The sequence below is a fragment of the Homo sapiens genome, chromosome 19, assembly GCF_000001405.40.
Source record: "Homo sapiens chromosome 19, GRCh38.p14 Primary Assembly".
NCBI classification, from domain to species: domain Eukaryota; kingdom Metazoa; phylum Chordata; class Mammalia; order Primates; family Hominidae; genus Homo; species Homo sapiens.
Window position 1 is genome coordinate 48,463,773 of NC_000019.10, and position 20,472 is coordinate 48,484,244.

At 56.9% G+C, this 20,472-nt stretch overlaps 2 protein-coding genes and 1 long non-coding RNA gene across 7 annotated transcripts in view, besides 5 other annotated features; 2 read left to right on the forward strand and 1 right to left on the reverse strand.

The window, feature by feature from the left end:
- KCNJ14 (potassium inwardly rectifying channel subfamily J member 14) overlaps positions 1 to 3,208 on the forward strand; it is an 11,407-nt gene extending 8,199 nt beyond the window's left edge. The window contains exon 3 of the mRNA NM_013348.4: positions 409 to 3,208. Coding sequence (NP_037480.1) covers positions 409 to 1,005 — 597 coding nt within the window. The 3' untranslated portion in view covers positions 1,006 to 3,208. The remainder of the gene's footprint in view (positions 1 to 408) is intronic.
- On the reverse strand, positions 1,639 to 5,761 carry LOC105372430 (uncharacterized). Its single transcript, NR_186576.1, has 3 exons — positions 5,239 to 5,761; positions 2,797 to 2,835; positions 1,639 to 2,166 (listed from the first exon to the last, which is right to left on the reverse strand). It is a non-coding gene; the product is annotated as an uncharacterized LOC105372430 (long non-coding RNA).
- Positions 4,698 to 5,198: an enhancer, noted in NCBI's record as "H3K4me1 hESC enhancer chr19:48971727-48972227 (GRCh37/hg19 assembly coordinates)". NCBI's record gives its function as "activates a minimal SCP1, AML or CMV promoter by ChIP-STARR-seq in primed H9 embryonic stem cells {active_cell/tissue: H9 hESC(primed)}" and the evidence as "EXISTENCE:reporter gene assay evidence [ECO:0000049][PMID:30033119]".
- Positions 4,903 to 5,062: an enhancer, noted in NCBI's record as "active region_14897". NCBI's record gives its function as "activates an Ori minimal core promoter by ATAC-STARR-seq in GM12878 lymphoblastoid cells {active_cell/tissue: GM12878}" and the evidence as "EXISTENCE:reporter gene assay evidence [ECO:0000049][PMID:35858748]".
- Positions 5,256 to 6,249: an enhancer, noted in NCBI's record as "H3K27ac-H3K4me1 hESC enhancer chr19:48972285-48973278 (GRCh37/hg19 assembly coordinates)". NCBI's record gives its function as "activates a minimal SCP1, AML or CMV promoter by ChIP-STARR-seq in primed H9 embryonic stem cells {active_cell/tissue: H9 hESC(primed)}" and the evidence as "EXISTENCE:reporter gene assay evidence [ECO:0000049][PMID:30033119]".
- On the forward strand, positions 5,597 to 18,542 carry CYTH2 (cytohesin 2). 5 transcript variants are annotated; one of them, NM_017457.6, is made up of 13 exons: positions 5,597 to 5,754; positions 6,581 to 6,728; positions 6,831 to 6,897; positions 8,553 to 8,671; positions 9,526 to 9,606; positions 10,133 to 10,245; positions 10,410 to 10,558; positions 11,066 to 11,177; positions 13,945 to 13,947; positions 14,297 to 14,373; positions 14,503 to 14,574; positions 14,666 to 14,820; positions 15,351 to 18,542. In NM_017457.6, the coding sequence occupies exons 1-13, from the start codon at positions 5,736 to 5,738 to the stop codon at positions 15,436 to 15,438; spliced, it is 1,203 nt and encodes a 400-aa protein (NP_059431.1). In that variant the 5' UTR covers positions 5,597 to 5,735; the 3' UTR covers positions 15,439 to 18,542. The 5 variants fall into 5 exon arrangements, with proteins under 5 accessions (NP_059431.1, XP_047295639.1, NP_004219.3 ...); XM_047439683.1 differs by lacking the exon at positions 13,945 to 13,947 and having other exon boundaries at positions 15,351 to 16,316; positions 16,978 to 18,542; XM_047439682.1 differs by lacking the exons at positions 5,597 to 5,754; positions 13,945 to 13,947 and adding an exon at positions 5,867 to 6,271 and having other exon boundaries at positions 15,351 to 16,316; positions 16,978 to 18,542.
- Positions 5,613 to 5,802: a silencer, noted in NCBI's record as "silent region_10881". NCBI's record gives its function as "represses an Ori minimal core promoter by ATAC-STARR-seq in GM12878 lymphoblastoid cells {active_cell/tissue: GM12878}" and the evidence as "EXISTENCE:reporter gene assay evidence [ECO:0000049][PMID:35858748]".
- Positions 9,847 to 10,047: a silencer, noted in NCBI's record as "peak3539 fragment used in MPRA reporter construct". NCBI's record gives its function as "represses an SCP1 promoter by STARR-seq MPRAs in K562 erythroleukemia cells {active_cell/tissue: K562}" and the evidence as "EXISTENCE:reporter gene assay evidence [ECO:0000049][PMID:32103011]".
- Positions 18,543 to 20,472: the final 1,930 nt, after the last annotated feature.

The following is a 20,472-nucleotide window of genomic DNA, read 5'->3' on the forward strand; positions in this document are numbered from 1 at the left end:
TTGATTTCATCTCTGTCTTGCTGATTTCTGTGTCTCTATGCCAATATCACTCTGTCCCTCTCTCCTCTTCCCCCACCACGCCCCTCTTCCCGTTTTCTACCCCCAAACCCTGAGTCTCTTTCCTCTCTCTTTATCTCTGGGTCTCTGTCCCATGTCCCATGTTTTCTCTGGACCTCCATCCTCCCCTCCTGGGTCTCTGGCTCCCTTACTGGGTTTCTGTGCCCTCCCCTGCCTCTCTGACTTCCTCTCTCTCTGGGTTGCCGGCCCCATCTCTTGATCTGTGTTCTCACCCTTTTCTTCACTCCTGTGGTCTTTGCCTTCTTTCTCTGCATCTCTTCCTCTCTCTCACTTCGTCTCTGCCCGTCTCTGTGCTCCCTGCTGTCTTTGGCTCCTCGCCTCCTGCTGCAGCCCCGTGTGACCCCAGAGGGTGAGTACATCCCGCTGGACCACCAGGATGTGGATGTGGGCTTTGATGGAGGCACCGATCGTATCTTCCTCGTGTCCCCCATCACCATCGTCCATGAGATCGACTCTGCCAGTCCTCTGTATGAGCTAGGACGTGCCGAGCTGGCCAGGGCTGACTTTGAGCTGGTGGTCATTCTCGAGGGGATGGTTGAGGCCACAGCCATGACCACACAGTGTCGCTCGTCCTACCTCCCTGGTGAACTGCTCTGGGGCCATCGTTTTGAGCCAGTTCTCTTCCAGCGTGGCTCCCAGTATGAGGTCGACTATCGCCACTTCCATCGCACTTATGAGGTCCCAGGGACACCGGTCTGCAGTGCTAAGGAGCTGGATGAACGGGCAGAGCAGGCTTCCCACAGCCTCAAGTCTAGTTTCCCCGGCTCTCTGACTGCATTTTGTTATGAGAATGAACTTGCTCTGAGCTGCTGCCAGGAGGAAGATGAGGACGATGAGACTGAGGAAGGGAATGGGGTGGAAACAGAAGATGGGGCTGCTAGCCCCCGAGTTCTCACACCAACCCTGGCGCTGACCCTGCCTCCATGATGCAAACTGATGTCCCCTTCCCCGTGTATGCCCCCTTCCCCAAGGTAGCAAGATGGAGGGATGGGGCTCTCTCCTGGGATGGGGGCAGGTGTTCCTGAATACCGACAGGCCTGCTGGGTAAATGACTAGGTGGTAAGGTTCTGCCATGCCTGGTGACCCACCATGGACATACTGGACCTTAATTCCTCTGCTTCTGTGCTCCCTCCTGAGAACCCTTTATGAGCCTGATTCCTCAGTCTCACCAGAATTCTGGATCACCCAAGAGGAAAAGACTGGCAGTTCTAGATTCCTCTATATGGGGAGACCTGGATTGTTGACCAGGGTGAGAAGCCAATGGTATAGACTGCCTCTGGGGAAGCAAGTTGGCAGTTCTTGAACAGCATCAGATATCAAGAGTTTGTAGGTCTGGATTCACCTAAGATTCAAGGGAGTGTTGCTTCTCAACTCAGCCAACTGAGTAGCAAATCATTTGTTCTAGACCACCTAAGGAGGGAAGGTTATGGAATGCCCCAAGTATTCAAGATCATCTTGATTGACCAAAGACCAAAAAAAAAAAAAAGACCTGTGGTTCCAGAAAGCTCATTAGTTGAGATTCTGTGAGTCTAGGTTGACCACAGAGGCAAGCACTGGTGAGTCTAGGACAGATTTTACGTGGAGAGTTGAACTACTCCAGAAACTAAAGAGTAATGTTTCTAGAATGCACAAAACATTGTTAGTCTGTGGGTTTAGAAAGACTGAAGTGACAGATTAAGAGTTCTTGATATTAGATAACTCCAACTTCTGGCTGTAGAGCACCCAGCCAAGAGAATAAGCAGTGCTTTGAAAGGATCCACTGGGTGGGTTGTTTTTTTTTAAAGTGCCATTCTAGAATGTCCAAAGGGAATCAGGATTCTGTGGCTGTAGACTGATCACAGAGTCAAGGAAGCAGTGGCAATTCTAGATATCTGAGATTTTGCTGGTTCCAGTTTGCCCAATGGAGTTGAGAATCTCAATGATTCTAGATGACTTCTTGTGGTTCTGTAATGCCAAAAGGAATGAAGGCTCCAGGGATACAGAGTTGTCCATTACCAAAGCCTGGAAGTTCTCATCACCTCCAGGTGGACTGCTTGGCAGTGCTAGGAGGTGGACTCAGGACTTCAGAAGCAACATTTCTGGCCTGACCTGGAAGGTGAAGGTGAAGGTGAGACCCTGTAGGGCACAGGGCTAATTAGTGGACAAGGGAAGGGGGAGGCCCAGGGCTGGTGAGTCTAGAATGCTCTGGAACCCTACACCTAGTGATGTGTGTCTATTTCTTTTTCTTTTTCTTTTTTTTTTTTTTTTGAGACTGAGTCTCGCTCTGCCGCCCAGGCTGGAGTGCAATGGCGTGATCTCAGCTCACTGCAACCTCCGCCTCCCGGCTTCAAGTGTTTCTCCTGCCTCAGTCTCCTGAGTCGCTGGGATTACAGGCATGAGCCACTATGCCTGGCTAATTTTTGTATTTTTAGTAGAGACGGGGTTTCGCCATGTTGGCGAGGTTGGTCTTGAACTCCCGACCTCAGATGATCCACCTGCCTCGGTCTCCCAAAGTGCTGGGATTACGGGTGTGAGCCACCATGCCCAGCCGTGTGTCTGTTTCTTAAAGATATTATACATATGTATATTATATATATGTAATATAAATACAGATATCTATCTATTTTTTCCCTTGGTCCCTACAACAGGCTTAGAGATGGAGTGCTAGCTAATTGGAATGAGGTCCTTTTCAAGGACCCCAGAAGCTTTGCTCTAAATCCCAATGCTGCCCCAACTTACTGTGTCACTTTGGACTCCTCTTCATGTCAGTTTCCCCATCTGTAAAAACGGGATATTGGAACTTGAAGTTCTTCAGGGGCCTTTCCAGCAGGATGAGTCCTCACTACACCAAGGGTGGGATGGGCATTCGAGTCCTGGGGATTTCCCTCCTCTCCCCAGTGCTGGATCATACGGCCTTCCAGGAGACGCTGGGATGTAAGATACTCTTGGAGGCTGGCTCTGAACTCGGGTGTCTGAATCACAGGGCAAGGGTAGGCGTGGGCTGTGGCTAACAGCCAGAGTCACTTCCCTGGCCTAGCTTGGGGACCTGGGGAGGAGGAGGTAGCTCTGGACACCAGGGTTCTTCCCATTGTGGGAGAGTGAGTGTTTTAGGGGGAGACCTGTCCCCCAGATTAAAGAACTGGGAGCCCTAGCGGATGTGTCTGCGAATGTGTTTCTCGAGCATGGGTCCTCCGACCTGGCCCCCTGCCCATGCTACCATCTACCTAAGTGCCCCGCAGGCTGGGAGCCAACTGCAGAGGGAGCCAGTGACAGTGAGGAGGACGTGTTCCCACCCCGTGTTCTGGACCGAGGGCAGCCACTGTCATTGCCATTCAGCCTTCACAAGTGCTGCATCAACCCAAATGCCCCCTCCAGCTTCTCCATCTCCCTTTATCCCTCAGAATCCCCATGTAATAACCGGATGGGATTAATTAGCTGGCTGCTCTCTCAGCTCAGGGTGTCTGGGGTAGGTAGGGATGGGGGCAATGGAAACGCAGGGTTGGGGAAGGATGTTAAGTTGGAAGTGAAGGGGCAGGGAGGGGGTTTCGTTTGAAAGGAGTATGGGAGCAGGGCAGCCCAGCCTGGGTTTCCACTGGGGAGGGCAGGGCCTGGGCCACTCATAAAGGTCAGTGAGGGGATTAGGAGCCTCCATGTCTAATCCGACAGCTTAACTAGGTCCTGGCCCTGAATCCGTCTCCACCTGCCCAGCCCAGGGACAGCAAATGAGGACGAGGCCCAGACACCACTTCAGCCCCCATTACGGCTTCCCTCTTTACAGGGGTGCCTGGGTTCCCTATTCCAGCCAGTCCCTTGACCACATTCCGTTACAAATAATGGGACATAGAGGCTGGGGAAGGGGAAGGGGAAGGGGCCTCAGAGGAGGGAGGAGTTTAAGAAGGGCAAGGGTGGCTGGGCACGGTGGCTCACGCCTATGGGCACGGTGGCTCACGCCTAGCACTTTGGGAGGCTGAGGCGGGTGGATCACCTGAGGTCAGGAGTTTGAGACCAGCCTGGCCAACATGGCGAAACCCCGTCTCTACTAAAAATACAAAAATTAGCCGGGCATGGTGGTGGGCGCCTATAATCCCAGCTCCTTGGGAGGCTGAGGTAGGAGTATCGCGTCAACCTTGTGGGTGGAGGTTGCAGTGAGCTGAGATCATGCCAGTTCATTCCAGACTGGGCAAAAGAGCAAAACTCTGTCTCAAAAAAAAAAAAAAAAAAAAAAAGGGCAAGAGTATGAGAGGACAAGGGGGACCGTGACGTGAGGGGAGCCAGAGAGGAAAAAAGGCCTCTGAGATGGGAGAAGGAATCAGAGAGGTGGGAGGATGCTGAGGAAAGGGGAGTTGTCTTAGCAGGAGGATGCTTGGGGAAGGGAGGAGTCTTAGGAGGATGCTAAGCTAAAGGAAGGAGTTTGGAGAAATGAGGGAGGAGTCTGAGCGGCAGAAGGTGCCAGGAAGGCCGAGCCTGTGCTTTCACTAAATTTCACCTTCCCCTGTTCCATTCCCCATGACCGATACCAAATAGCATAGCATTTAGAAAAAAGTAAATCTTGGCCAGGCGCGGTGGCTCACGCCTGTAACCCCAGCACTTTGGAGGGCCAAGGTGGGCGGATCATGAGGTCAGGAGTTCGAGACCAGCTTGGCCAACATGGTGAAACGCCCGTCTCTATTAAAAATACAAAAAATAGCCAGGCATGCACCATCATGGTGCAACCCTGTAATCCCAGCTACTCGGGAGGCTGAGGCAGGAGAATTGCTTGAACCCGGGAGGCGGAGGTTGCAGTGAACCGAGATCGCGCAACTGCACTCCAGCTTGGGCGACAGAGCAAGACTCTGTCTCAAAAAAAAAAAAAAAAGAAAAAACGAAGAAGTCTTTTGTTTCACCACTCCACGACTCCGAAGAGGCTGAGGGGGATGGGGAGGGCATAGATGGTGATAAAGAAGGAGTTCGGCGGTAAGAAGGGGCTGAGAGGAGGGGAAATACGCGGAGAAGAAATGCAAAAGAAAAGGAGGCCTAAAGCCGCTCCCGGTTGCATGGCAACCTTTGCGGTCAGAAGCCAGCATGGCCTGCTAGGAGGTGTGGCTTACGGAAACAAGCCAGTTCTAGCCCCGCCTCCTAGCAACAAGACTAACAAAGTACCGCCCCCTAGCAACGTATTATCGGAGGCGGGGCTCGGTTTACCTAGACTCCAAGTGTCCAGGGCCTTTGAGCAGGCGCAGAGGTGGCTGTACCGCGTGGCTCCGCCTCCGCGCGACACTTTTCCGGGGCTTCTCATTGGAGAGCAAGCCTGTCAAGTGCTTTCTGTTGTTTCGGAGGCGGGGCCTGCTGCCCTGCCTGCACTCCGATTGGCCCCGCGGGCCGTCTACCTCTGGCCGGACATACCTACACCGGCTTTTTGTACGACTGTTGGCCCTGGAGAACGATCCTTTGGTGGCGAGGGCGGGGAGGACGAAAGCGCCCACTGTGGATTGGACAGTGTCAAAAAGAGGGGCGGTCCCTACTGAAGGGGCGGTTGGGCGACGAAGGGAAGAGTCTTTTCAGCGCTGAGGACTGGCGCTGAGGAGGCGGCGGTGGCTCCCGGGGCGTTTGAGCGGGCTCACCCGAGCCCGCGGGCCAACGCGGATCCAGGCCCGACTGGCGGGACCGCCCCGGATTCCCCGCGGGCCTTCCTAGCCGCCATGGAGGACGGCGTCTATGGTAGGTCGGGGAGGGGCGGGGTCGGCTGGGAGTTGCTGGAGCGTTTTCTCCTGAACGTTCCGCCGCGAACGTTTCCCCCTGGCGCGCGGCGCCCAGAAGCGTTCGGCTCAGTCGTAGACTTGTCGCGCCGCTTTTGTTGGGCGCTGGACGGGCTTCCGGCGGGGCCCGAAAGCCGGGCGTTCCAGGCCATTGTTTGGGCTGAGCCTGTTTCCGGTGGCGGCGGGAGGGGCGGGATGGAGTGGTGGAGGCGAGGCCGGGGCGGAACCATTCCCGCTGGAGGGGCGGGCGAGCCCAGCGCCTGCCGGGGCCGGGGAGGGGCGCTTGGGTTGCGGGGAGGGGAGAAATCTTGGGGGGCGGGGGCCTTCGATGTCCCGCCCCACCTTCCCAACTCTCCTGAGCTGTCATCAGTTCCCCCGGCTGTAGTGACTTTTCATGGACCCAGTAGTCCGGATAACCAGGTCCCCAGCTACCTCGCCAGTAATGGAGTCAGAAAACCAAGGCCTCAGTCCCCTTCCAAGTAATGGACCTAGAAGCCGAGGCCCCCAGCCCTTTCTTCCCTCAGATCTAAGAGCTCAGGCACCCATTCCCCTTCTCCCTCAGACTCAGGAATCCGGGCCCCAATTCCCCTTGTCCCCCAGGACTCAAGAGTTTAGAGCCCCAGCTCTTTCTCCTCTGCAGGGAGGAATCCAGGCCCCCAGCCCATTCTTCTGTGCAGACATAGGAAGCCCCTTACACATCCTCTCCCAGCTCTGTCCGCCCCCAGATTGCAGGAATTCAGGCTCACGGCCCCTAGCACTGACTTTTAAACCTTGACCCCGATCCCTAGAACCCCCAGACCTGACTCCGGAGGAGCGGATGGAGCTGGAGAACATCCGGCGGCGGAAGCAGGAGCTGCTGGTGGAGATTCAGCGCCTGCGGGAGGAGCTCAGTGAAGCCATGAGCGAGGTGGAGGGGCTGGAGGCCAATGAGGGCAGGTGAGGGCTGGGGCGGATGACCTAGGGGGCGTGGGGTTGGCTGAGGCCAGGGATGCCCAGGCATTGACCCTCCACCCCCAACCCTGCTCTCTGCTCCTGCAGTAAGACCTTGCAACGGAACCGGAAGATGGCAATGGGCAGGAAGAAGTTCAACATGGACCCCAAGAAGGTGCTTGGGGCCACAGGACTGGGATCAGCTGGGCAAACATCCAGGCAGGGGCTTCTGGCACCTCCGGGTTCCAGAAGCGTGATGGTGCCGGGTCTATTCTAGGTGGACAGACTTGGTCCTAATCCCTGGATTCAGATACTGGCTGTCCATTTGTTTTCTGAACACTGAACACTGACCAAGTGTTCCAGCCCTCCTGACTGTTTTGTCCCCTGCCTGGAAGGTCGTCTTCCACTTTCTACTTGTATGGGCGCATTTCTGGTCCCAAGATGAGCTCGAGTCTTGTAGGGGCTGTGGACAAAGTGACATGCACAAAGGAGAGTTGACCTCTCTCCCACAAAGGTGCCGTGACGGAGGAAGGTATCAGGGTAGTGGACCTCTGGAGGAGGCAGGCTGGTGGAGTCAGGGAGGGCTTCCTTGAGGAGGAGACATTCAGGTCGGGTTTGAAGGATGAGTAGGTGTTCACCAGGTGGAGGAAAGGCTTTTGTTCACCTACTCTTTGTGTGTGTGTGTGAGACAGAGTCTTGCTCTATCACCCAGGCTGGAGTGCAGCGATGTGATCTCGGCTCACTAACCTCCGCCTCCTGCGATTCTCCTGCCTCAGCCTCCCAAGTAGCTGGGCTTACAGGCTCCCACCACCATGCCCAGCTAATTTTTGTATTTTTAGTACAGATGGGGTTTCACCATGTTGGCCAGGCTGCTTCCAAACTCCTGACGTCAGGTGATCCGCCCGCCTCAGCCTCCCAAAGTGTTGGGATTACAGGCATGAGCCACCGTGCCTGGCCTGTTCACATACTCATTTAACACCCATTTTCTGAGGCCTCTCAAGAGTCTGATCCTGTGTAGGGCAATGCTGGGGACCCAAAGAAGAATTAGATGCTGCCTTGTGCTCAGAGAGCCCTTGGACACCGATACCACAGTTCACAGTGAGATAAAGCAGTAGTAGAGAGGTCTTCGTAGCACAGAGAGTGAGAGAAACCTCCAGTCTAGCCAGGGCTTCGAGTTCACAGCCCTTGAAGGACTGCGTCTGCTAACAGGTTGTCACGTTATTCTTTCCTGAAGCAATTGGAATTCTGTTCAGTCATTCAACAAACATTGATTGGCTGGGTTCGGTGGCTTATGCCTGTAATCCCAGTGCTTTGAGAGGCCGAGGAGGGAGGATTGCTTGAAGCCAGGAATTTGAGACCAGCCTGGGCAGCATAGTGATAACTCATCTCTAGAAAAAATATAAATAAATAAATTAGCCAGGTGTGTTGGGGCATGCCTATAGTCCCAGCTTCTGAGGAGGCCGAAGTGAGAGGATCCCTTGAGCCCAGCAGTTCGAAGCTGCAATGAGCTGTGATCACGCCACTGCACTCCAGTCTGCAATAGAGCGAGACCAGGTCTCAGAAAAAAGAGAAAATGTACTGAGCACCTGTGCCTTGCCAGACCCTGTTGTTGGTGCTGGAATTAACCAGGCAAAGGCAGAGAGGGTAGGCCATGAAGTGCAAAGGCCATGAGTTGGGAAGAATGCTATTTAAGACCTGTGAGAAGGCTGAAAATGAAACCTGGCCCTGGTCTGTTGAGGGTGGGGGTAGGTCTGGATGCTGAGGTTCCCAGGGAGGTGAGTGGGGTGGCTTTCTGGCCCTCAGCACTGAGACCTTGTCCCCACCCACCAGGGGATCCAGTTCTTGGTGGAGAATGAACTGCTGCAGAACACACCCGAGGAGATCGCCCGCTTCCTGTACAAGGGCGAGGGGCTGAACAAGACAGCCATCGGGGACTACCTGGGGGAGAGGTACGGTCACCACTCAGCTCCTGTGGGGCCCCTCCCTCCCACCCCCCAGACCCAGCTCCTGCCCTCACACTGGCAGCTCACAGGTGGAACAGCCCTGCAGCCTCCCCGCAGAGGGGCCCTGGCAGATCAGCCTTCTGACTGGACTGTGACAGAATGGACTGACATGGGCTAGGGGAGCCTGCGGCCAACCGAGAGCATCTGGGGATGTGGGGCCTTCTGGAATTACCTGGCAGTTGTGGGGAAGCATCCATTTATGTCTGAGAAGGGTAGAGAACATCTCTCAAGGATCATGGGAGCTTGAGAACCGTGGGTAGACCATGGCTGTGCATAGGCACTGGGTGGCCATCTGGGAGCTGTGGGGACCGCTGGGCCCTTGTGGGAGCTTAGGAGTTGTGGGGGTCATTTGGAAGCCTAGGGTGCACAGGACTGGACATCAGATGATTGGAGGCCATCTGTGGACGTCTGGGAATCAGGGATTTATAGAGATCTGGGGTGCTTGGGAAGCATCTCTGGATGTCTGGGGGATGTGGGGGCTGTGTCTGGATACCTGGGGAGCATGGGGATCATTTGAGAGAGGTGACAGTAGGTAGCATACATGTTTGCGGCATTTCTCCCAACTGTACAAAGGTCTGGCCTAAGCAGGGTTCCCAAGCCAGATATTCCTCCCAAGAGTGTGTTCTGAGCATCCCCCACCCTGGGGGCAGGCCTGTGTGGGAGTCCAGCAGGAAACTTCACCCTCGGCAGTGGGCAGCTGTGGTGCAGTAGAGGGGGCACGACTTCCCCAGGGCATTGCCCTTTGCCCATTCCTGCCCCATCCTTTCCAAACTGTATGTGTCTTTGTCCCATCCTTCCAGGGAAGAACTGAACCTGGCAGTGCTCCATGCTTTTGTGGATCTGCATGAGTTCACCGACCTCAATCTGGTGCAGGCCCTCAGGTGAGTGAGGGGGAGGGGTTTGGAACGCCAGGAATGTACCTGTCAGGGCCTTCCTAGTTACAAGTGACAAACCTTACTCAAGAAAAAAACAGAAACAAGCAAAACAGAAACAAAAACTAGGGAACTGAGTGTGTCCTGCACCATAAAAGTTCAGGGTTATGGCCTCCTTCAGGTATGGCTATATCCAGGAGCTCAAATGGTGGTCAGAAAGTCGACTTTCTTTGCCTCTTGTATTTGCCACTGTGTCAGCATTGCTCTCTGCAGACCCGCTTACCTGATAACAAGCCTCAACCAACCCCCAGACCTGTCTAGCGAACTTAGCAGAAAGAGGCTATTTCTGTAGGGATTCACAACACTCCCGTGGCCAATGCCCATTGGTGAGACTGGATCATGTGACCATACCTGAAACAACTGCTGAGGCCGGAAGGTCGGGATTCCTCGTGGACCAGTTCCTAACACAGGGACTGAGAGTGGGGACAGGCTCCCACCAGCCCTGGCATCCATTCCTGGCCCCTCCCCAACCCAGGCAGTTTCTATGGAGCTTTCGCCTACCCGGAGAGGCCCAGAAAATTGACCGGATGATGGAGGCCTTCGCCCAGCGATACTGCCTGTGCAACCCTGGGGTTTTCCAGTCCACAGGTGCGGGCCCCAAATCCTGGGTCCTGGGAAAGAGGAGACTGGGGCCCAGACTCCTAGGTCTGAGGGAGGGAGGGGGCTGGGAGCTGGGAATCCTGGGTCCTGGGGAATGGGGGCACTGGGGACTGACATGCCTGGGTCGTCACCACCTGCCCTGTCCGGTGCAGACACGTGCTATGTGCTGTCCTTCGCCGTCATCATGCTCAACACCAGTCTCCACAATCCCAATGTCCGGGACAAGCCGGGCCTGGAGCGCTTTGTGGCCATGAACCGGGGCATCAACGAGGGCGGGGACCTGCCTGAGGAGCTGCTCAGGGTCAGTCCCCCTTCCCTGCCCCTCAGCCCTGCCCCTCTTCCTGCCACAGACACCCCCGCCCCACCTGTGGTCTCCTAGTGCCCAAGCTGTCTGCCCTCACCCCCAAGATGGTGCGATCATGCCAACTCGTGTGTGATCTTTTTCTCTCTCTCTGGGTGCTTCTCTTCTTGACTGTCTCTCTCAGGCTTTGGCCCTGACAATTTTGGCCTGTCTGTCTTCTCTGTCTCTGGCTGTTGGGCTTTCCGGCCCTCGATTGGCCTCATTCCCCATCTGTCTGTTTCTCTGAGGACGTAGCCGGCTCCTCCACCTATCACCAGGGCATCTCTTCTTTCCTCCGCCACCTCAGCCTCCCTCCACTTCTCTGCCTTTCACTTCCCTCTCCTCCCCACTACCCCTCTCTCTTCCCCACTATGAGTCATCCCATCCCTGGTCTCGCTGCCCCCCACCCTGAGTAACCCTGGGGGGCCCCAGGGGGCTCGAATGGCTAATGCAGCCTTTACTCCTCAGAACCTGTACGACAGCATCCGAAATGAGCCCTTCAAGATTCCTGAGGATGACGGGAATGACCTGACCCACACCTTCTTCAACCCGGACCGGGAGGGCTGGCTCCTGAAGCTGGGTACGTGCCCTCCCGACCCCGCTGGTCCCTCCGCAGGAGGACATTTGTGGGCCTGGGCCCTGGACTCAGCTTCCGCACACACCTGCTGCCTGAACTGAGGCAAATGATTCGACCTCTCTGAACCTCAGTTTTCCACACCCAAAAAATGGGGCTGAAAATAAAATCAGGCCTGTGTGCTGGGCCTGGCCTGTAGTAAGTACTTCCCAACCCCTTCTCTTGACCCACAAATGTTGATGGAGCCCTTCTGTGCCAGGCCCTGAGCTGGGCTGAGGAGGCAGTGAGAGGCAGCTGACATTGTCCTTTCGTGGGAGAAGAGTTCACTCAGGCTTCTTTCCACTGCGTTAACCCAGCCCGAGGGAGCCAAACCCCTGGAATCTATTCCCCTTGGCAAGAACTCCCAGGGTTCCAGGCAGGACTGACCCCGCACTCCGAGGCATCAGGCCCAGAGCACTTGGCTGATCCAGGTGCCATCCTTCCCGAAACACCACCCACAGGCAGAAAAGAGCCAAACAGGCCAGGAAACCTGTCCCAGATTCTGGCTTCCAGCTGTGGAGGGAATAGCCAGGGCTGGTGCAGATGAGTCGGGAAACCCAGCAGAGATGGAGGGGGGAGTCTTCGTCATAACACGTGGCACTGGCACATTCAAGGTCGGTTAGCATGGATCAGACAGGATCGTAGCATGATGAGGGGTTAGCACAAGGACTAGAGTGGTTCTCAGCCCTGGCTGTACATGAGATTTGCCTGGGCAACTCGAAAACTCCGGTGGCTGGGCCATAGACTCCTGAAGTCAGGCTCTCAGGAGCAGAAGGGCCATCAGTCATCGTTTAAGCTCCTCGGGTGCTCCCAATGCATAGTCAAGGTTGAGAGCTACTGGCCTGGAGCCGTGCCTGGTAACAGTAGGTGCCACCTGCGTGTTAGATGTGGTTTATAATGGAGACACGGTGCACAGCTGCTCCAGAGAGACACATCTGGGCAGTTACAGTCCAGCACAGCAGTGGAGGCTTCCCGCGGCAGCAGGAGAGCCCACAGGAAGCTTTCAGCTCAGTGAAGGGAGTCAAGGTCAGGCTTCTTGGAAGGAGGTTGGACAGGGCAGCTTTGGCCTCTGAGTCTTGGGGGCCTCCCCATGTGGAACTGTGCTCTTAAACCAGGGCATCACCACCTCAACAGATGCCAGGGTTTCCTGGTAAATGTAAAATACACAAGTCAGGCAGGGCACAGGGGCCCACCCCTGTAATTTCAGCACTTTGGGAGGACAAGGCAGGAGGATTGTTAGAGGTCAGGAGTTTGAGACCAACCTGGGCAATATAATGATACCCCCCATCTCTACAAAAAATAAAAAAATTAGCCAGGCATGGTGATGTGGGAGGATTGTTTGAGCTCAAGTGGTCGAGGCTTCAGTGAGTCATGGTTGCGCCACTGCAGTCCAGCCTGGGCAACAGAGCGAGACCCCGTCTCTATAAAATAAAACATGCAAATCACTGTCCAGCCAACACCCCAGTCCAGATCCCTGCATTCGATCCAAGGGAGGCAGACTGCTGGGGGAAATTGAGAGTCCTCGAGGTGCCCCTGGCAGTGAGCGGGCCAGAAAGAGAAGCAGGAAGGCGCCAGCATCACGAGGAACTGCTTCCCTCAAAACTGCTGTCAGGCCAGGCACGGTGGCTCAGGCCTGTAATCCCAGCACTTTGGGAGGCTGAGGCAGGCAGATCACTTGAGGTCAGGAGTTTGAGACCAGCCTGGCCAACATGGTGAAACCCCGTCTCTACTAAAAATACAAAAATTAGCCGGGCGTGGTGGCAGGCACCTGTAATCCCAGCTACTTGGGAGGCTGAGGCACAAGAATTGCTTGAACCCAGGAGGTGGAGCTTGCAGTGAGCCGAGATCACACCATTGCAAATCCAGCCTGGACGACAGAGCGAGACAGTCTCAAAAAAACAAAACAAAACAAAAACTGCTCCTGTGAGCAGTAACTTTCCCATTTCCCAGAGGCTCACGCCTCAGTTTGGTTCTGAGCCCCACCTAAGGCTGCCCAGCCCCAGGGACATCTCTGACCAAAGGGCCTCTGTTCCCTTTGTGCCAGTTAGAGGGACCCCTTCCTTAAAAGATGGAAATACAGGAGTGGAGATTGGTGATGGTGGTTGCTACTCCATGCCTAATAAAAGCCATTCTTACTGTCATTGTTTAACCCTGGGCCCACAAGGAAGCCAGCAGCAGGTCATTTTGCCACAGGAAGGTGTAGGCCCGAGTGAGTCTCCAGGCTGGAGTCCAGAGAGTCCAAGAGAGTGCCCTGAGGTCACACAGCCAGTTTGTGCAGGAGCTGAGATGGGCCCTCACACCCACCTCAGACCAAGGGCTGGGGGTTTTGCCTTCTGTCCTGTGGGGGCCTCCTCCAGGGCAGAGGCACTTTTACCATGTCAAGGGAGGATGCTCCTGGCCTAGGACAGACCCTAGGGGGTAGGCTGGGGCCCTGTACCGAAGCAAGGGGTTTTCAAGGCTGCCACCCGGGGCTCATGGCCCTTGGCCTCTCTGGGAGGGAGGAGCCCCGGCCATCCCCACCCTCGTGGATGTAACTGGTTTTCTTCCCTCTCTCTCCCTCCCCTCCTCTCTGCGTCTTTCCCTCTCTCCTGTGTTTGCCTCTCTGTCCTGCCCCTGCGCACCCCTCCCTGTGCCCACCCTGTTTCTGTCGCCTGCGGCTCTTGGGGGTGCTCCATTCTCCCGCCTTCCCTTCTCCTGCACCTGGTCCTGCCTGCTTTCTCGCTGTCTGCCCCAGGAGGTAGGTACACGACCTGTCTTTGTCTCCCATCACTAGACGAGGGGAGGGGGCTGCCCTGGCGCCCTGGCGCCCTGGCCTCCTGCCCACAGGAGGAGGGGGCTGGGGGCTCAGGCTCCTGGGCTGGGACTGACAGACTCAGAAAATGTGGAGCCCCAAGCTGGGGGTGGACGATTCCTGGAGCCCCAACATGCCTGGCCCTGCTTGTCTGTCTCCCCCAACGCAGCGGCTTTGTCTAGGCCCCAGGAGCCCCACCTCTACCGCTCTTGCTCTGCTTCTCACGCCCCTCCCATCTCCCAGAGGCCCTGTCCCCCTGTTGAGCCCAGGCCCCCTCCCACCCCTTCCCTTTCAGGGGGCCGGGTGAAGACGTGGAAGCGGCGCTGGTTTATCCTCACAGACAACTGCCTCTACTACTTTGAGTACACCACGGTGAGCGTGACCCGACCCGGGCTCTGGGGTCCTGGGCGGAGTGGCTGGGAGCCTGGACTCCTGGGGCTGAGGGAGGTGGGGTGGGGTGAGGACTTGGAAGTCTGAGTTCTGTCCACCTTGCTTCTTCAGGACAAGGAGCCCCGAGGAATCATCCCCCTGGAGAATCTGAGCATCCGAGAGGTGGACGACCCCCGGAAACCGGTAAGACCCTCTCTGTACACCTTCCTGCCAGGGCGGGGCCTCCTCTGCCCAGGGCTGGTTCTTACCTGCGCCCTTCCTCTCTCGTCCCCAGAACTGCTTTGAACTTTACATCCCCAACAACAAGGGGCAGCTCATCAAAGCCTGCAAAACTGAGGCGGACGGCCGAGTGGTGGAGGGAAACCACATGGTGTACCGGATCTCGGCCCCCACGCAGGAGGAGAAGGACGAGTGGATCAAGTCCATCCAGTGAGCCTGGACTCCTGGGCCTGATGGAGGAGGGGCTGGGGCCTGGACTCCTGGGTCTGATGGAGGAGGGGCAGGGGCCTGGATGCCTGGGTCTGATGGAGGAGGGGCTGGGGCCTGGACGCCTGGGTCTGACGGAGGAGGGGCTGGGGCCTGGACTCCTGGGTCTGACGGAGGAGGGGCAGGGGCCTGGACACCTGGGTCTGACGGAGGAGGGGCCGGGGGCCTGGACCCCTGGGTCTGACGGAGGAGGGGCCGGGGGCCTGGACTCCTGGGTCTGACGGAGGAGGGGCCGGGGGCCTGGACTCCTGGGTGTGAGGGAGGAGGGGCCGGGGGCCTGGACTCCTGGGTCTGAGGGAGGAGGGGCCGGGGGCCTGGACTGCTGGGTCTGAGGGAGGAGGGGCCGGGGGCCTGGACTCCTGGGTCTGAGGGAGGAGGGGCCGGGGGTCTGAGACTCCTCCTGGGTATGAGGGAGGAGGGGCTGGAGGCCTGGACTCCTTGGCCCTCATCCTGGGACCCCTCCCCTTCTGCAGGGCGGCTGTGAGTGTGGACCCCTTCTATGAGATGCTGGCAGCGAGAAAGAAGCGGATTTCAGTCAAGAAGAAGCAGGAGCAGCCCTGACCCCCTGCCCCCAACTCCATTATTTATTACGGAGCTGCCCCGCCTGGGTGGCCGGACCCCTGGGCCTTGGGGCTGTGGATCCTGGTTCCCTGTTTGGAAAATTCACCACCTCTAGCTCCTCACTGTTCTTTGTAATTAACACGCTGTTGGTAATCTTATTAATTATTTAACCACTTGGCCTGCTGACCCCCTCATTTCTTGGGGTTGACAGAGTCGAGGTGCTCCGTGGAGCCAGCCTGTTTCCCTGGACAGGGGCCTGGACCCGCCTGTCTCTGGGTGCTGCCTGGGCTGTCCCGGTGGGTCTGTTCTGGTTTCACCCCGAGCCCAGCAGGAGTGGAGTAAAGGGAGAAGGTTAATATGGTGGGAGTCTGGAGTTGGAATTGGCCGGGGACAGAGTTTAGAATGCAGGGATTCAGGGTCAAGGTCTAGCATTCATTCTAGAAGTTACTTGACAGCCATCAGCCAGTTACGCTACAGCCATCAGCTAGTTCCCATCGTTGCTTTCATGGGGCTTGAGGTCTTTGAGGGGCAGGAGATGAAGCTGGTGAGGTTGTGAGCTGGGCCAGGGCTTTGAGGACAACCTGGAGCTGGAAGAACATGCGACCACCTCAGGGAGGGTCAGGGAAGGATGAGTGGGGAGGTGGCCCATGTCCTGCAAGGGCCTTGCTGATGGGATGTCCTGAAGGGCTGGGCAGCCTTAGATCGGGCTAAGAGGGCAGGACTGTGGGCCAGTGCCAGAGCCAGGCTTGTCTGTTCTCAAAGGATCAGCCTCCTTTGGAGGACATTTTGTGTCAAGGATAGGGCTGAGGACCTGCGTTCTGAACGTCTTTCCTGGGATTCTTGACAGCCAAAGAAATTCGAGGATCGCCTCTATGAAGGTGAAGTCTTGGCATGTGGGGTACCCCTGAATCCTGGGCTAAGGTCTGTGACCTTTTGCCCTCCAGTTGGGGTATGTGTGGTGTCCCCAAAGAACAAGGGCTCGTGGATCCCGAGCAGGGTGCGATGGCGGATTGGGAGGTCCCATGTCACTCTCCCATGCCCGCCTTTGAAGCTGAGGCGCTCTTTAGTTAACAAACTACAAGTCCCAGCAGGGACCGGGACGCGGGTGGGAGAGGCGCCTGTGGCCCCGAGGCGTGCCGCGAGTTGTAGTCCCTCCTGCCCGCTGTGTTCGCTTTTGAGCTCTCCGATGGGATGCGGCGCTTCGGAATTTCGGGCTTTGATCCCTGTCCCGCCCTTGGCCACAGGCACCTGCCGGCCTGAAGGCCCCCGCGGTGGGGGTACCCTGCGCCCCTCCGCGGGAAGGTGGACTACAGTTATCGGCAGGCTGTGCGGCGCCAAAGCCACGGTGACCCAGACCCGAGGTTTTTCCGGGCGTCGCAGTTTCCCGAGACTCCGTGGCGGCGTTTGTCTTCTTTTTCTTAGTCAGATCCCGTACTTTTGTGGAGGGTAGAGGAGGCTTTGACCGCCGCGGCCCCGGGGGCTGGTGGGAAATGGAGTTCCAAATGAGAAAATAGAATTCCCCACTTCTCTTTCCCACAGGTGCCAGGGAAACGGAGTCATCGACCCAAGAAGGTCGTGGGAGATGAGGTCCCAGGGTAAACAGCGGGTCCCGCCACTATGTCACCCTTTCCTGCCGCCTCCCCGGATGAACTGCATGCAGGGCGGCCGGCTCCGTGGCAGGCAGAGGCAGGAAGAGGCGCGGAGCCCGCTGGTGGCGAAGAGGGGAGTGCGGCGGGAGGGGAGGGCAGAGGCAGGCGGCCGGTCGCGTGGGGCCTGGGCCGCCCCAGGAGGGCCTCTGGCTGGATTCTTAGCAGATGGAAGCCGTGCAAGGGCAGGAGGCAGGGGCCTGACGTGTTTGGATTGAGGTTGCAGGAGGGGCCCCTGGCTGCTTCAGGGAGAATAATTTGGAGGCGAGCGGGGAGGTGAGAGGAAGCTGTGCGGTGCAGGATGGCGTGGCTGTGGAGGTGGAGAACGTTGGGCCACGCTAGGAGTCTTGAAAGAGGAGCCAAAAGGACTTGCTGAGAGCCGCCGCAGCTGGTGAATGACGGTGCCATGACTGAGGTGGTCGAAAGGGAGTATTTAAGGGGAAATCAGGCATTCCGTTTTGACCAAATTAAGCTGGAGATGCCTGTGGAACATTCCAGCCAGGCTGCATCACGTCACACTGACCTTCAGCATTGCCCACAGTCCATCTTCCCCCAGGACCTGAGGATTTTGCGTCCGGCTCCCTCCTCGCCCAGGACCCCCAAGCTCCCAGCACGCTTCTGATTTTTTTTGTAGGTTTTTTTTTTTGTTTTTTGTTTTGTTTTGTTTTGTTTTTGAGAGGGAGTCTCACTTTGTGCCCTAGACTGGAGTGCAATGGCGCCATCTCGGCTTACTGCAACCTCCACCTCCCAGGTGCAAGCGATTCCCCTGCCTCAGCTTCCCGAGTAGCTGGGATTACAGATGTGAGCCACCGTACCCAGCTAATTTTTGTATTTTTAGTAGAGACGGGGTTTCACCATATTGGCCAAGCTGGTCTCGAACTCCTGACCTCAGGCGATCCATCTGTCTCAGCCTCCCAAAGTGCTGGGATTACAGGTGTGAGCCACCGCGCCAGGCCTCAGCCCACTTCTTTTGGGTGGCAATGGTTTGGATATCGTTTGTCCTCACTAAAATTCATGTTGAGATTCGAGCCCCAGTGTGGCAGGTGTTGGGATGTGGGGCCTCATAAGGAGCTGTGTGGTCTTGGAGGTGGAGTCCTCATGGATAGATTAATGCCTGCCTTAAGGGGTGAGTGAGTGCTCACCCTTGGGAATTTGGGAATTTGGTTTTCTCTCCCTTGCTTCCTTCAGCACCATGTGATCTCTGTGCACACAGCTGCATCCTTCTGCCCTCCCCCAGAAGCAGCAGCAGCCTCAGGGATGAGGGAGGTCCTCAGTGAGTGCACCTGCCCAGTCTTGAACCTTCCAGCCATCAGAATCTGAGCCAAATCAACCTCTTCCTTTATAAAGACCCAGCCTCAGGTCTTCTGTCAGAGCAACACAAAATGGACTCAGCACGGATCAAATTGTGTCTCCCCCACCCCCACAAAAAACTTTATATTAAAATCCTAACCCCCAGCATCTCAGAATGTGATCTGATTAGGAAATAAGGTCATTGCAGATATAATTAGTTCAGATGAGGTCATTCATGTGGGCCCTAATCCAATAGGATGTGTGTCTTATAAAAGTTTGTACAGAGACCCAGACACACAGAAATGACACCATGTGGAGGTGAAGGCAGAGATTGGGGTGACGCCTCTACAAACCGAGGAAAACCAAAGCTGCCGGCACACCCTCAGAAGCCAGAGACCGGGGACTCATCCTCCCTCACAGCCTCAGGAGCAGCCAGGGCTGACACCCTCATCTCAGACTTCTGACCTCCAGCACTGGGAGACCTTCAGTTTTTGTGATTTAAGCCACTAATTTTGAGGTACTTTGTTATGTCAGCCCTAGATAACTAACCACTCCTCCCTCAGACCCAGGAGTCCAGGCCCAGCCCCTTCTTCCCTCAGACCCAGGAGTTGGGGACCCCGGCCCCTCCTCCCTCAGACCCAGAAGTCCAGGCCCCAGCCCTTCCTCCCTCAGACCCAGGAGTCCAGGCCCCCATCCCCTCCTCCCTCAGACCCAGGAGTCCAGGCCCCCATCTCCTCCTCCCTGAGACCCAGGAGTCCAGACCCCCATCCCCTCCTCCCTCAGACCCAGGAGTCCAGGCCCCCATCCCCTCCTCCCTCAGACCCAGGAGTCCAGGCCCCCATCTCCTCCTCCTTGAGACCCAGGAGTCCAGACCCCCATCCCCTCCTCCCTCAGACCCGGGAGTCCAGGCCCCCATCCCCTCCTCCCTCAGACCCGGGAGTCCAGGCCCCCATCCCCTCCTCCCTCAGACCCGGGAGTCCAGGCCCCCAGCCCCTCCTCCCTCAGACCCGGGAGTCCAGGCCCCCAGCCCCTCCTCCCTCAGACCCGGGAGTCCAGGCCCCCAGCCCCTCCTCCCTCAGACCCGGGAGTCCAGGCCCCCAGCCCCTCCTCCCTCAGACCCGGGAGTCCAGGCCCCCAGCCCCTCCTCCCTCAGACCCGGGAGTCCAGGCTTCAGCCCCTCCTCCCTCACACCCGGGAGTCCAGGCCCCCAGCCCCTCCTCCCTGAGACCCAGGAGTCCAGGCCCCCAGCCCCTCCTCCCTCAGACCCAGGAGTCTAGGCCCTGGTCTTTCCTCCCTAAGGCCCAGGAGTCCAGGCCCCCAGCCCCTCCTCCCTCAGATCCAGGAGTTCAGGCCCAGCCCCCTCCTCCCTCAGACCCAGAAGTCCTGCCCCCAGTCACCAGCCCTTCCTCCCTCAGACCCAGAAAGTCCAGCTCTCACCTTCCCCCCGCTGCCTTGGTTCATGCAGCACCCACCCACCCTGTGGCAGGTGTCTCAGGATCACTTCAAGCACCACCAAGTCTCCCAGCAGGACTTATTGGGAAGAAGCTAAAACCTTATCCTCTCTCTCCCTTTCCCCAATCCCCCAGGACTCACATGTGACCCTAATGCCGCCATCACCTTAACTCCGAGGCCAGAGTCTACACTACAGCCTCCCTAACAGAGGGAAGGGGCTGGGTTCCCACCCCTTGCTCCTTCCCTCTCCCCGCATCCAGACTACATCCCGCAAATACACCAGTGAACCTGGTACCAAGGTGATGGGGGACAGGTCAAGGCCAAGAGATCAGAGCCACAAAGACAAACCCGGTCAGAGGGAAAAAGACAGAGTCAAAACAGAATCCGGGAGAAACCGAGAACAAGAAATAGAGACAGCCTGGCGTGGTGGCTCACGCCTGTAATCCCAACACTTTGGGAGGCCAAGGCAGGCAGATCACTTGAGGTCATGAGTTCGAGATCAGCCTGGCCAACATGGTGTAACCCCGTCTCTACTAAAAATATAAAAATTACCTGGGCCTGGAGGCAGGCACCTGTCATTCCAGCTACTTGGGAGGCTGAGGCAGGAGAATCACTTGAACCCAGGAGGACTGCAGTGAGCCAAGAT

Bases quoted from the DNA above. Each gene is read 5' to 3' on its own strand.
- CYTH2 (XM_006723472.3), top strand. From the start codon at position 6,187: ATGGACCCAGTAGTCCGGATAACCAGGTCCCCAGCTACCTCGCCAGTA. The intron at 14,374-14,502 runs GTGAGCGTGACC...TTGCTTCTTCAG, and splicing joins ACTACTTTGAGTACACCACG to GACAAGGAGCCCCGAGGAAT. The intron at 14,821-15,350 runs GTGAGCCTGGAC...CCCCTTCTGCAG, and splicing joins GAGTGGATCAAGTCCATCCA to GGCGGCTGTGAGTGTGGACC.